General features: G+C 40.6%; 1 protein-coding gene across 11 annotated transcripts in view; it reads right to left on the bottom strand.

Moving 5' to 3' along the window:
* The window catches only part of STX11 (syntaxin 11), a 51,977-nt gene that overhangs the window by 6,513 nt on the left and 31,840 nt on the right, over nt 1-13,624 (bottom strand). Inside the window, exon 1 of one of the 11 annotated variants that reach the window (XM_011536217.3) lies at nt 4,681-4,739. The exons of the other annotated variants lie outside the window; for them this stretch is intronic. The gene's annotated coding sequence lies outside the window, so the exon portion shown is untranslated. Of the gene's footprint in view, nt 1-4,680; nt 4,740-13,624 lie in introns of those variants that run through there. 11 annotated transcript variants of the gene reach the window in all.

Genomic DNA, 13,624 nt, shown 5'->3' with positions numbered 1-13,624 from the left:
ATACACAAGACTTCATGATGAGAAAGATTCTTTTTCTACTACACAATTTGCAGCAAAGAGGGGAAAAGTAGTAACACTTAATGGTTACGCAATCTATCAGGGTTCTTGGTCTCAAATTAAAAGCTTCTTTCAAGTTGAAGTAATTAATTTTATATCACCACTAATGGAATGCTGACAAGTTGGATTTGGTGGTAAATGGAAAATGGTGAAATATTAACCACGGCCTTTCATCTACCATGATCATTATTTACATAAATTAAGCAGAAGTTTTATTCTATGATGGTGATTTTTAATGTAACAATGTAAGCTGCTTAAAGTGCCATTTCTGATATCTGGTGGCTATAATCAATACCAGACCTTCTCACGGATGGGGAAGGTGATTCTCCTAGCAGTATGGTTGACAGGCAGAAAAAAGATCCACCCTGGACCAAAACTATGCCTTCACCTGGTCTGAATTTCTTGATATTCAACTGTTTCCTCACTTTGAACAAAATTGAAAGACAAACCACCAACTGGGGAGAAATTATAATATATGACAGACAAGAGGTTAAGATACTTAATATATATATTTCTAAGCTACCAAAAAATCTACTTACCCAAAGACAGTGAAGCAATTCAGAGAAGATGTAAATGACAGAGAACATAAACGTATGTTATATATGCCTGATATTTTCTAGGCATCTTTCATGTGATACCCTCTTTAGTCTTCATACAGATTCTATGAGTAGGTACTGCCATTATCAGAGTTGGTGTGAGCATAGGGAGATCAAGGAATTTACTCAAGGTCATCAGTAAGTGAACACTCAGGCGTTAGAATAGCACCACTTAACCAATGCACTAAATAATCTTTAGCAAAAGTATAAAAATATAGTCACAAAAGACTTCTGTATTAAACAAGGAAATGCAAATTAAACTGCTGAGAATTTTCTTGCCCATAAAGTTAGCAGGAATTTTTTAAAAACAATACTTTTTCAAATGGGTAAGGATTCTGGGAACTCTCAAAACATACTGGTAATTCCATCTCATGCCAGTCAGAATGGTGACTATTAAAATGTCAAGAAACAACAGATGCTGATGGTGGTTGTGAAGAAATAGGAATGCTTTTACACTGTTGGTGGGAATGTGAATTAGTTCAACCATTGTGGAAGACAGTGTGGCAATTCCTCAAAGATTTAGAACTGGAAACACCATTTGAGCCAGCGATCCCATTACTGGGTATATACCCAAAGGAATATAAATCATTCTATTATAAAGACACATGCATGTCAATGTTCACTGCAGCCCTATTCACAATAGCAAAGACACGGAACCAACCCAAATGCCCATCAATGTTAGACTGTACTATACAGCCATAAAGAGGAATGAGATCATGTTCTTTGCAGGGACATGGATGAAGCTGGAAGCCATTATCCTCAGCAAACTAATGCAGGAACAGAAAACCAAACACTGCATGTTCTCACTTATAAGTGGGAGGTGAACAATGAGAACACCTGGACACAGGGAGGGGAATAATGCACAGTGGGGCCTGTCGGGGAAGTGCGGGGGAGGGGAGAGCATTAGGGAAAAGAGCTGATGCATGCTGAGCTTAAAACCTAGGTGATGGGATGATCTGTGCAGCAAACCACCATGGCACATGTTTACCTCTGTAACAAACCTGCGCATCTTGCACGTGTACCCCGGAACTTAAAAACATAAAATAAGATAAAATAATAAAATCAGTATTATTGTTCAGGGTCTTGAGACCTCTCTCAGCTTCTGCTGAACTAAGCAAGTACATTAAATTTTTTTTCTAGATTAAAAAAAAGTCTAATTTAAAACTCCTGTGGTGTCTTTGTTTTTGCAACTTAATGATTTTGCAAACAAAGTCTATTCATTATTTTAAAAAATTGGTAATTGATAGAATCTTTCTGGAAGTCAGTTTAGTAATATGTATCAAAAGCTTTTCAAGTGTGCATTTGTTTTGACATATGTGCATTTATTCTAAAGATATAATGCAAAAGTGTATGAAACTCATTGCTCAAAATATTTTCATCACCACCTTGTTTTTGCAGAAATTCAGAAATAAGTTAAATGCACAATAATGAGGTCCTGGCTTCTACATAAGTCACAGAGTTTAGAAGGCTATCTAATGGCATGAAAAGCATATATACTCTGTTAGGCATAAAAAGTAGTTATGGAGAAAGAGAATGTGCAGCATTCTGAAACAGAAACTTGAGTAATACACATCAAAGTGTTAATTATAGTTTTCTTTGAGTTGTGGAATTATACATGGTTTAAATTGCTTCCTTTTGCTTTTCTGTATTTTCCAAAATTTTTATAATGTCCACACACATTTCATAATTTAAAAACCCCCATAAAACAATAAATACTATTCGTTTAAAGGACTAACTCCTTAGCAACTTTTAAAAGTCTATGCATGGCAATCAAGTTAACATTTTATGCTACCTGGGGAAAGCACATTAGCTAGTTTGCGTAGAGTTGAGCTGTACCCATCTGCTTAAGTTAGTACCCAATATAGTCTACCATGCAACAAGTGGATGAGATGGAATGGATGCATTTTGATGAACAAGGCAAGAATAGGTGAGAGATGCCTTCCTTCCTTACATGTTGGCCAAGCCTTACAAGGCACTTCAATGGAAGGAAATGGGTAGATAAGGGACTGTACCACGCCCTGGGACACTAGGGATCATTTGTATGTATCCTGCTTATCCTAGACAGGTCCTGTGCTCTGTATTGCTCTCCTACAGCCATTAAAAAGCTATTGGGGGAAATCATCTCATCACAATAAGAAGAGTCAAGTACAATTCAATCATATAGAAAATGGTTTTGGAAGATGTCCAGGGACAGTCATTCCTTCTCAAGATTGAACAACCATAAAGTCATAGATAGCAAATTATAAATCAGGTAAGGGCCCAAGCTCATGTGAAGGCGCAAGTCCATAATGTGCTAATAAGAGAAAAAGAAAGGGTACAGGAGACATAAAGATTCTCTATTGAGGTGTGGTAAAGGAGGGAAGGGGGCCTTCACCTGGCCTTCCTGCCCACCTCTCTTGGCTCAGCCAGCCTTGGATGAGTTGTCTCCACTGACATAGAAGGTCTCCTGGTCACCAGGGAGCAAACATTAGGAAAACTACAACAGAAAGTCAACGAAGAGACTGCTATTCCTAAGAATGTCTCCAAAAAGGTTAAAAGTGTATACACTACTGAAGTTATACAAAAATATAGAAGTGGGCACAAATAGAGAATCAAAATAACCTATATATCCCATAGCTTGATTCTGTACTATGAGTTCCTAGAAAGAGAACTATGGTAAATGAGAAAGAAAAATCAGACAATTCCACTGACCTTCCTGTCTTATTGTAATAAAAGATAATGTAATAAACTTTGGTAAATTGCATTCATCAAGTTGCTAAAAATAAGTCCTGCTTCAATTTGCATGGAGGTGAAGAATTCAAAAGAAAATTGACAACCAACTACCAAAAATCTGCTTCTGCTTTCTAATTTTCTTTTCAGGCATGCATATAATCTGTACTGAAAACCAGATCCAATAAGGAAGGAAGGGGGTATTGCTTAAGCCTTTTTTCATTGAGCAATAAAGTTTTGTGTAAGAGAAAACAAAGGAACAAAGAGATGATGGTAGCTCAGTGGTCCTCGGTCTGCAAGAGGTGACAGAATCTTCTGGAGAGCTTCAAAGATTACAGATGCCTGGGCACCTAGAGTTTCTGATTCGGTAGGCCTAGGATGATCTCCAGGTGATTATAATGCATACTCAAATTTGTGACCCATTCCATAGATACCTACCATGTCAGCTTTTTTTTTTTTTTTTTTTTTTTTTGAGGTGGTCTTGCTCTGTTGCCCAGGCTGGAGTGCAGTGGTACTATCTCGGCTCACTGTAACCTCTGCCTCCCGGGTTCAAGTGATTCTCCTGCCTCAGCCTCCCATGTAGCTTGAATTACAGGCATGCACCACCACGCCCAGCTAAGTTTTGTATTTTTAGTAGAGATGGGGTTTCACCATGTTGGCCAAGCTGGTCTCAAACTCTTGATCTCAGGTGATCCACCTGCCTCAGCCTCCCAAAGTTCTGGGATTACAGGCATGAGCCACTGCACCTGGCCCATGTCAGCTTTTTATTCATAATTATCATGCAATTCTGGAGAACTTATAATAATTCCTAGCTTGGGGGCAATCTCGATGAGCAAAAACCTGATAGAGAAGGAAAAGGGGTAGCTACTGGCCTCTCTCCCCCACTGGAAAGATGGTGGCTTTCATAAGCACTGCCTTCTGGCTCCCTGGTATGGAGGCTAAATAAGAAAGTCAGCTGAAAACTCACTTTCATAAAAACAATCTCTGAAGCTCAAAAGGAAAAGGAATCAAGAATGTTTGAAATAGTTTATTCTGATCCCTTCATTTTATGATGGAAAATTATAATTGTTGCAGGCATGGGAGTATGAATAAAATTGAAGACTGAGCTTACTATGATGAGGCACCCTCAGGTACATGAATAAATACTCTGATAGCATTCACAGGGAACAAGGAAGGATGGTGATATTCTATTAGTTAAATATTCTAGCCATTGAGACCTAGATCCTGCTTTGAATAGCCTACTATATTTGGCACATAGAATCTTAAAATTTTCTGTCATATCAGGAAGGAACAATTCAGAAAGCAGGTTTCCACCTACCTCAGCAGACCAAAGAGTGGAGGTGACAATCACATTGTATTAGTCCATTTTCACACTGCTGATAAAGACATACCCAAGACTGGGAAGAAAAGAGGTTTAATTGGACTTATAGTACCACATGGCTGGGGAGGCCCCAGAGTCATAGTGGGAGGTGAAAGGCACTTCTTACATTGTGGTGGCAAGAGAAAATGAGGAAGGAGCAAAAGCAGAAACCCCTGATAAACCCATCAGATCTCATGAGACTTATTCACTATCACGAGAATAGCACAGGGAAGACCAATCCCCAGGATTCAATTACCTTCCCCTGGGTCCCTCCCACAACACATGGGAATTCTGGGAGATACAATTCAAGTTGAGATTTGGTGGGGACACAGCCAAACCATATCACACATAAATAACCAAGACACTGGATGCTACAAAGAACAATTGTGAAAGTCATTGTTCCCAACATGCCTCTAAGGGAATTATTTAAAGTGACATACATAGTATCTCTCTGATAATAAAGGAGAAGCTTTATTAGGCAGCCCCAAAAGACTAATATATGCATTAAGCAAATTTTGCCAAAACCAGGAAACAAAACCTTTTCCTGTTTCACAGCAAGATGTTAAAGTATTTTTACAAGTAGTGAGAAATTTTCAGACATGGGAATATGCAATACAGAGCAGCTCAAGGCACACAGCAAACCTTGTGAAGCTTATTATGGAGATCAGCTTGTAGATACACACACACACAGAAAGAGAAAGAGAAAGAAAAAGAGAGTCTTTGCAAATGGAATTCGGCTATTTCAGAAGCAAAACAGACCCTGTCCCCAAGATATACACTCCATACAGGACTTACGCACAGTACCCAAGTTCTGATTTTCAGATTCTATGACATACCTCCTATGTCCTAATTTTATACCAATTGTAAACATATGATTAAAGTGATTATTACAAATCAGAAGGTCCACTATTGGTCTATAGGGTGCCTTAATGAGGTTTTGTGTTGGGCTTATATAGTATCTTTGTGAAAGCTAGGAAAGGGCCCTTTCTCTGGGTGGATAAAGCCCTGCCCAAGGGCATGCATCCTGGTGAGCTGAGCATGGTTGGATTGCCAGTCTCTCTCATCTGTGGTGAGATCACAACCTGCACAGCCCCATGGGGTCACCCTGTGTACCCCTTTCTCAACCACCTCATCCAGTCCCTCCTGCCCACACATCCCCGCTACCAGAGGCACCTAGAAATTCCACAGGTAGAGTGTCACTGTAATTTAGCAGTTCCTTTCTAGCATACCCCATAGTAACACAGCCCTTAAAGAACAACAAATGGACTTTCCCCAACAGGTTCATAAACAATAATTTCACTCAACTGAGTAAAACCAGTGTTCTGTTTCTTGATTTTTAAAATGACACATCTAAGAGGGTGATATGGTTTGGCTCTATGTCCCCACCCAAATCTCATCTTGAATGGTACTCCCATAATTCCCACACGTTGTGCGAGGGATCCGGTGGGAGATAACTGAATCATGGGGGCGGTTTCCCCCATGCTGTTCTGGTGGTAGTGAATAAGTGTCATGAGATCTGATGGTTTTATTAGAGGTTTCTGCTTTTGCATCCTCTTCATTCTCTTTTTGTCTGCCACCATCCACATAAGATGTGACTTGCCCCTCCTTGCATTCACCATGCCTCACCATTGCCTCACCATGATTGTAAGTTCTCCCCAGCCACGTGGAACTGTAAGTCCATTAAACCTCTTTCTTTTGTAAATTGCCCAGTCTCAGATATGTCTTTATCAGCAGCATGAAAACAGACTAATACAGAGGGAAACACTATTCTTTGAACATCAAAACATTACAGGTTAAAACTAAAAAGTTCCTAATGAATAGCTCTAATTTTCTTGCTGCTCCGAAGTTAATTTAAAAAAAAAAAAGCTTGTATCGTATCTTAAAGTGCATTGGGCAAGAACGCATTTAATATTGTCTTAGGGCTCATTCAAAGCAAAATTTGAAAGGCTGAAGAGTATTAATTGAAATGGTTTATAACGATAAAAGTCTGAGGCTAGAAGAAATAATTTTTAAATGTCTCTTGTTTTCTCTTTGCTCTAAAGCAGAAAGCAGGTAGGAGTTATTCAAACCACTGCTGGAGGAGACAGCCTCTACTTTTCAATCACTTTACTCATTTGATGCCCTCTGACATAATTCGCTTTTCAGTTTCCTCAATCAGAATTTTCTGCCAGTGTGTGAAGAGAAAAAGGCAGTTTGATATGCACAGTTGATAAACAGCCAGTGGGTAGCTGGGATTTCACTTTTAGCAATATGCTTTCAGATGCTTTCTGTAGAAATGCACGGGAAATCAAAGCAGCTACTCCTGTGTAGGTTTCATACATTCTGCTCTACAGTGAACATTTATTAAGCATTTGTAAAATGCCAAATGCGGTACTCAGCAATGGGCAGGTATTAACCCATTTATTCCTTATGAGGTATTATCATCATCCCCAGTCTACAGGTTTGAGGCCTAATGAGTTTAAGCAGTTTGCCTAAAGTCATACAGTTATGGAGTTGAGATATAAATCCCAAAAGTGTGACTACTTGAGAATCCATCCGTAATCCACAAAGCTACACTAGCTTCTTTTTCCTAAACTCCCCACAAGAAGGCTTCTTTTAAAATCGTTAGTCTAATAGGAAACGTATTCCCTAATTGAGCTTTTCTATTAGGAACAATTATTAGCATCTAATTCTTAGAACTGGATTAACACATGGAAATACTGTCACCATTAGAATCACTACTTTCTTTCCCACACAAATTTCTTCATATCAGAGTTTCCCCAACATTGCAACACTTCAGTTGTTACAGTCCTAAAAACAGGGAGTAAGTCACCACAACTTTAAAAAAAATCCATAAAATTATTAACTCTCTGAAATAACAGAATACAGACACTTGGAGATGTAAATTTTACAGTCAGGTGCATAGAAGCCACAGCAGGAAAGGACAGTAGATGAGCTTTCTTTCTTCTTTTTTTTGAGACGGAGTCTCCCTCTGTCACCCAGGCTGGAGTGCAGTGGTGCAATCTTGGCTCACCGCAACCTTTGCCTCCCGGGTTCAAGCAATTCTCCTGCCTCAGCCTCCTGAGTAGCTGGGATTACAGGTGTGCACCACCACACCCGGCTAATTTTTTGTGTGTTTTTAGTAGAGATGGGGTTTCACTATATTGGCCAGGTTGGTCTCAAACTCCTGACCTTGTGATCCGCCTGCCTCAGCCTCCCAAAGTGCTGGGATTACAGGCGTGAGCCACCGCTCCCAGCCAGTAGATGAGCTAAGGGAGAAAGTAAAGACAGGAGCACTCAAGGGTCAAGGCCTCAAGGCTCAAGTCATCTGTGCAAATTTTTCCACTTGTATCTCTATTAGTATTTACAAACTAAAACAGTTGTTGTAACTCTTACATCTGATTTCCCTTTGGCCCTAGAATGTGAAGCAAAACTTTGCCTGGAAAATACAGCAAAGATCTATGTTTAAAAAATGATGGGGAATAGATTTTGAGTCCAGTTGGAAAACATATATGCCTTTAAGTAATTCCTTTATATTTTGTAACTATTCCATGAAGTATCTTTGAAAGGGAGAAATCCATGGAGTTTCCAGAATCATCAATGACCTTTTCTTTTCCAACTCGTAACACCAGTTAAGAATTTTTACATTCCTTTATCTGTTCCTCTTTCTTGTAAACAGTGTCCTTTGGGCCACTTATTCTAGTCTCATTGCCTGGTTACTCCTGTTAAATTCTCCCAGAAAAAATATTCTTATATATGGCTGATATCTTTTACACAAGGTACGGAAATATCTGAGTTATCCAACATCATCAATGCATGAGGGTTTTCCATGTAAGTAACCTTTACAGTAACTGAAGTTTCTCCCTTCAAATGTCAAAGGCATCTACTTATCTTTGTTGGAAATCCTCTTCTAAAATGCCTGGACACACTTCCTTGCTTTTTAAAAAACAGGGCATTAGACACAATTTATTGATGACTCAAATGGCCATTATTAACATCTTTCAACCATGTGTTCAAAGATCAGCTTGATTTGATTTAAAATGTTTCTCTTTCCTGGGAGTTAAAATAGCAAACCCTTCCTCAGTTATCTCCACTCACCACTGACAGTCTTCTCACTCCCTTTAGAGACTGTGGCAAGCAAAGACATTCGAGAAGCAAACATTCTATAATAGTAACTTTCTGCGTGTGTCTGCAGCCCTCTAGAATCAAGCCCACTCCGTAAAGCAAGGAAGGAAAAACGAATCTCAGTGACAGACTGTGTGCACCCCAAACCAGTCATTGTGCTTGAGAACTGATATAAAATCCACCACAATCCTCACAATAACCTTGGGAGGAGGGTAACATCATTTTCGATTTACTAATAACTGGGTCTCGGAGAAGTTAAGTTCACCCAGTGAGTAAGAGAGAAGTCTGGGATTTAAACTCACATCTGTCCAGGTCCTGAGTTCATGCCCTTTCCACTTAATCATGCACTGAAGCTGTTGGGGGAGTTAGGGTGGGAGGCGCTAGTGTGGGGAGGTACTAGGTCGGGAGGCGCTAGTGTTGTTAAGGAGCAATATTCTCTGCTCTGTTTCTTCCCTTCTCTGGCATCCCTCTCCACCTCCTCCTGCAAAGGGGCATGGAGTTGCTTATCTAATTAGTGAATCTAAAAGAAGAACCTGTCTGCAGTAGCCCAGCCACTTCTTTCTTTTTCCTAAAAGTGGGTTTAGCAGAGAACCTGTGTTGTCTCTGCACTACCCCTGGGTGGGGTGGGTGAAATCAGCTGTGGCCAGGGAGGGTAAATCCAGCTAATGCTGGCTTCAAGATCAGAATGCACAGTCCCACAGATGTAAGCCACATCTTCCAACCTTGTCTTTATCGGTCACTAACGAGACCCTTTGGCCTCTGACTGCTTTTCCTTTCTTATTTCTCCACGGGTGTGGAAGTCAGGTGGGTAAGGAGCAGCTACTTACTGTGTTCCTTCCTTAATCAACCCAACCACCATGTTAAGTAAAATCAAAGAAGGTGAGAGCAGAAAAAGCCTGTAATGACTAGCTTGCACAGTGCCTTCACTGTAAAGATGAGGAAAGAGAGGCTCATTGTATTCACATACAAATAATGATTAAAAGAGTGTTATTAAGGCTGGGCGCGGTGGCTCATGCCTGTAATCCCAGCACTTTGAGAGGCCGAAGTGTGTGGATCACCTAAGTTCAGGAGTTCAAGACCAGCCTGGTCAACATGGTGAAACCCCATCTCTACTGAAAATACAAAAATCAGCTGGGCGTGGTGGCATATACCTGTAGTCCCAGCTACTCGGGAGGATGAGGCAGAAGAAAAAACAATGTTATTAGCAAAGTGGAAAAAAACTCTTATGTAATTGCCATTTCCATTTACAGCAATAAAATTCTAACATGTATAAAGCATTTTCATGAGAGTAGCATATATTGAGACTTCAACAAATGATAACTACTAATTTTACTATATTATCATTATTATTATTGTTTGACACAGGGTCTCGCTCTGTTGCCCAGGCTGGAGTACAGTGGCACAATCATGGCTCACTGCAGCCTCTGCCTCCTATGTTTAGCAATGCCTAAGCCTCCTGAGTAGCTGAAACTACAGGCATGTGTCACCATGCTCAGCTAATGTCTGGCATTGTTAGTAGAGACAGGGTTTCATTACATTGGCCAGGTTGGTCTCGAACTCTTGGCCTCAAGTGATCCACCCGCCTCAGCCTCCCGAGTAGCTGGGACTGCGGGCTAATTTTTATATCTTTTGTAGAGATGGGGTTTTGCCTGTTGCCCAGGCTGGTCTCAAACTCTGGAGCACAAGTGATCCCCTCTGCCTCAACCTCCCAAAGTGCTGTAATTACAGATGTGTGCCACTGTGCCTGGCCTAATGTTAGTATTGTAGTACCAGATAGTATCAGAACCATGAATACATCAACCAATTAGATTATTTCCATGACGTGGTGAGCATCTGTTCTCATCCCACATTCTTGATCTGACCTCCTAGGTGGCCCCATTCTTTCCCCTTGAATTTGTACATACTCTTTGTGAAAGGGTGCAAAAAAAACTTTTCTGGCCAGGCACAGGGACTCATATCTGTAATCCTGGCTTGGGAGGCCAAGGCGGGTGGATCGCTTGTGCCCAGGAGTTCAAGACCAGCCTGGGTAACAGGGCAAAATCCAGCTCTACAAAAACACAAAAATTAGCCGGGTGTGGTGGTGCACACCTGCAGTCCCAGCTACTCGGGAGGCTAAGGCTGGAAGATCGCTTGAACCTGGGATGCAGAGGTTGCAGTAAGCTAAGATCACACCACTGCACTCCAGCCTGGATGACAGCGTGACCCTGTCTCAAAATAAAAATAAAATAAAAATAAAAATCTTCTTACTACAAATTCTTTGCAGCTTCTCTGATCAAGAGGTACAGACTATTTCTCAACTCCTTGAGTCTGAGGGTGGCTATGAGACTGAGATTTGCTTTGACCATTGAGACATTAGCAAATATGATGCAAGCAGAGGTTTGAAAAGCATTTGTGCAAAAGGGCTTGCTATTGGGTAGCTTAATTCCACTATATGACGAAGCCTGGGCTAGCCTGCAGGAAGATGATGCCCAGCTGAGCAGTACTCGAGGCTGAGCACAACCACCAGCTAACCTAACAAAAGACTGAAAATGAAGGAGCCGCGGAGAGCCCAACAGAAGACTGCTCAGCCAATCAACAGGATAGTGAGAAATAATAAATCGTTGTGTTTGAAACCACCAAAACGGGTAGCAGCTTCTTACATAGCATAAGCTAAATGACAGAAAAATTGGTACCTAGAAGTGGCATGCTGCCAGAACAGAAACCTAAAACATTCCACCTTGGCTTTGGCACCAGATAGCAGGTGAAAAGCAGTGATGTAACTGTTAAGTAAAACTGGAAAGATGGCATGCAGACTGTCAGAGGAGGGTGGAAGTGGTGAGGAAACTGCGAGAGCAGTCAGGGGAAAAGGCAGCCCATATCATAGGCAGCCAAACACTTGGCAACACTGTTGCCTATGGCAGCTCCAAAGGCTGAAAATGTTGGTATGAATTTTGCATCTCGCTGCAAAGATCTCCAGACAATGTTGAAAGTGTTTTGAGTGTGTCTATAACTACATAGAAGTTCTGCACGATAGAGACAAACTAAAAATTGAATCATCTAGTTTGCAAGCATTATTTAGAGAAAATAGAGAGAAACCAGAACTCACAAGATAGGAAAATAAAAACTTTTTATCTCTCCAGTCTCTTCAACTGGAAGAAACAATTCTAAGTAAGAAATGGCCTTAGACCTCGGTAAAATTGAATAAGCTGCCTCGCAGACCTTCTCAGCTAGACAAAGTGAGCTCTAAGACTCTAAGTGTGTTGTCTCAAACAACCTGATCCTCAGCCTGAAGTAGACAGAGGTCTAACATGAAAACAATTATGAACATAGGTTTTAGGGGCATGGAGCCTAATTAGAGTATTTGGAAATCCACAAAGTTTTTAAGAGAATTTTACTAAAAAGCACACACACAACCTTGGCCTAAAAATACAAAGACTTTTCAAAGGAAAAGAGGCCTCTGGGTCCCCAACTTTTTATGATCAGGATCTAGGCCAATGAAGCTATTTAGGAGCAAAAATAAGCCATTTGTTGTGGGAAAAGAAGAGTTTCAGAGGGTAGAGCCAAGAGCAGTGGAGGAATATAAACCAAGAAACCACTTCTGAAAAGCAGAGCTGGGTCCTAATCAAGGAACATGGCCTAGCCCAGGATCAGGGGCACCTGGTAACATGTGCTTGGACAGAACTGCTATGGACCAGTGGTTGTCATATGTATCCTGTTAATGGCTCTTTTTTTTTTTTAAATGGGGTGTCTACTTTTGTTATCCTTTTCCTATCTCATCATTATATGTTGGATGTGTATGGGAAAGACAGCCTGTTCATTGTCTTGGGATCAAGAGGATCAGCATAAGAAGAGCTATCTCTGAGGAGTCTGAACTGTATCTAGATCTCATGCAGATCAGGCATAAGTCTCTAGACTTCGAGGCTAATACTATAATCTGATGAGACTTCGGGGAATCCTGGGATGGGAGGGAGCATATTTTTCTTGCAAAAGAAATGTGAATAATTTTTGTCAGAGACAGACTATACTTGATTACAACAAATGGCAACAAATTCTTAGCAGCACGTCCCATCAAGAAGTGGTGTCGGTCTCTCTACCCTTTGAATCAGTTTCTCTACCCTTGGCCATGAGACTTGCTTTGACCAAGAGGATGGGAGGAAACATGGAGCAAGCAGAGGCTTCAACAGCACTAGCACCTTGGGGCTTATCTGCTCTGGGAACACTGAAACCATTATGTGAGAAAGCTCAGACTAGCCTCCTGGAGGGTGAAGACCGCACGGAGAGCTAGGCCAGCCCCCAGCTGACCCACCTCTACAGCTGCATGACTGAGTCCAGGTGAGATCCGTAGAAGAATCACAGGTGCTTACTATCTGCCAGAGACTGTTGTGGAAGGTTTACATGGATTATCTCATTTAATCCTTGCACCCATGAGAAATAGAAAATTGTTATTTGGGGGTGGCTTGTTATACTGACAAAGCTACCTGATACACCTCTCCTTGGGTTTCTCCATGCTCCTTAAGGTGTATTCTTCTTTAAAGAAGACATGGAGGCTGCTGTGAATCATGGATAAATTATAATTTCTGGAAAGTAAATTCTCGTGCATTTAAAACAAAAGTTTATTGTTATGATTTTAAAACACAAACATAAGCAACGTGAACCAAACAGTTGTCCTTATGAAGTATGTCACCTATCCAATAATTGTGACTTAAGGTATATATTAATATCTTGATTTTAATTCAGTAGACCTTTGTGATATTCTACTCATATTGTATGTAAAAGTTAATATAAAGCGTACACATTTTTTAAAAGCACATGTTTCTTA

This window comes from Homo sapiens, chromosome 6 (assembly GCF_000001405.40).
Source record: "Homo sapiens chromosome 6, GRCh38.p14 Primary Assembly".
Taxonomy (NCBI): domain Eukaryota; kingdom Metazoa; phylum Chordata; class Mammalia; order Primates; family Hominidae; genus Homo; species Homo sapiens.
The sequence above is the reverse complement of the archived record's forward strand: the minus strand, read 5'-3'. Positions and strand labels throughout refer to the sequence as shown.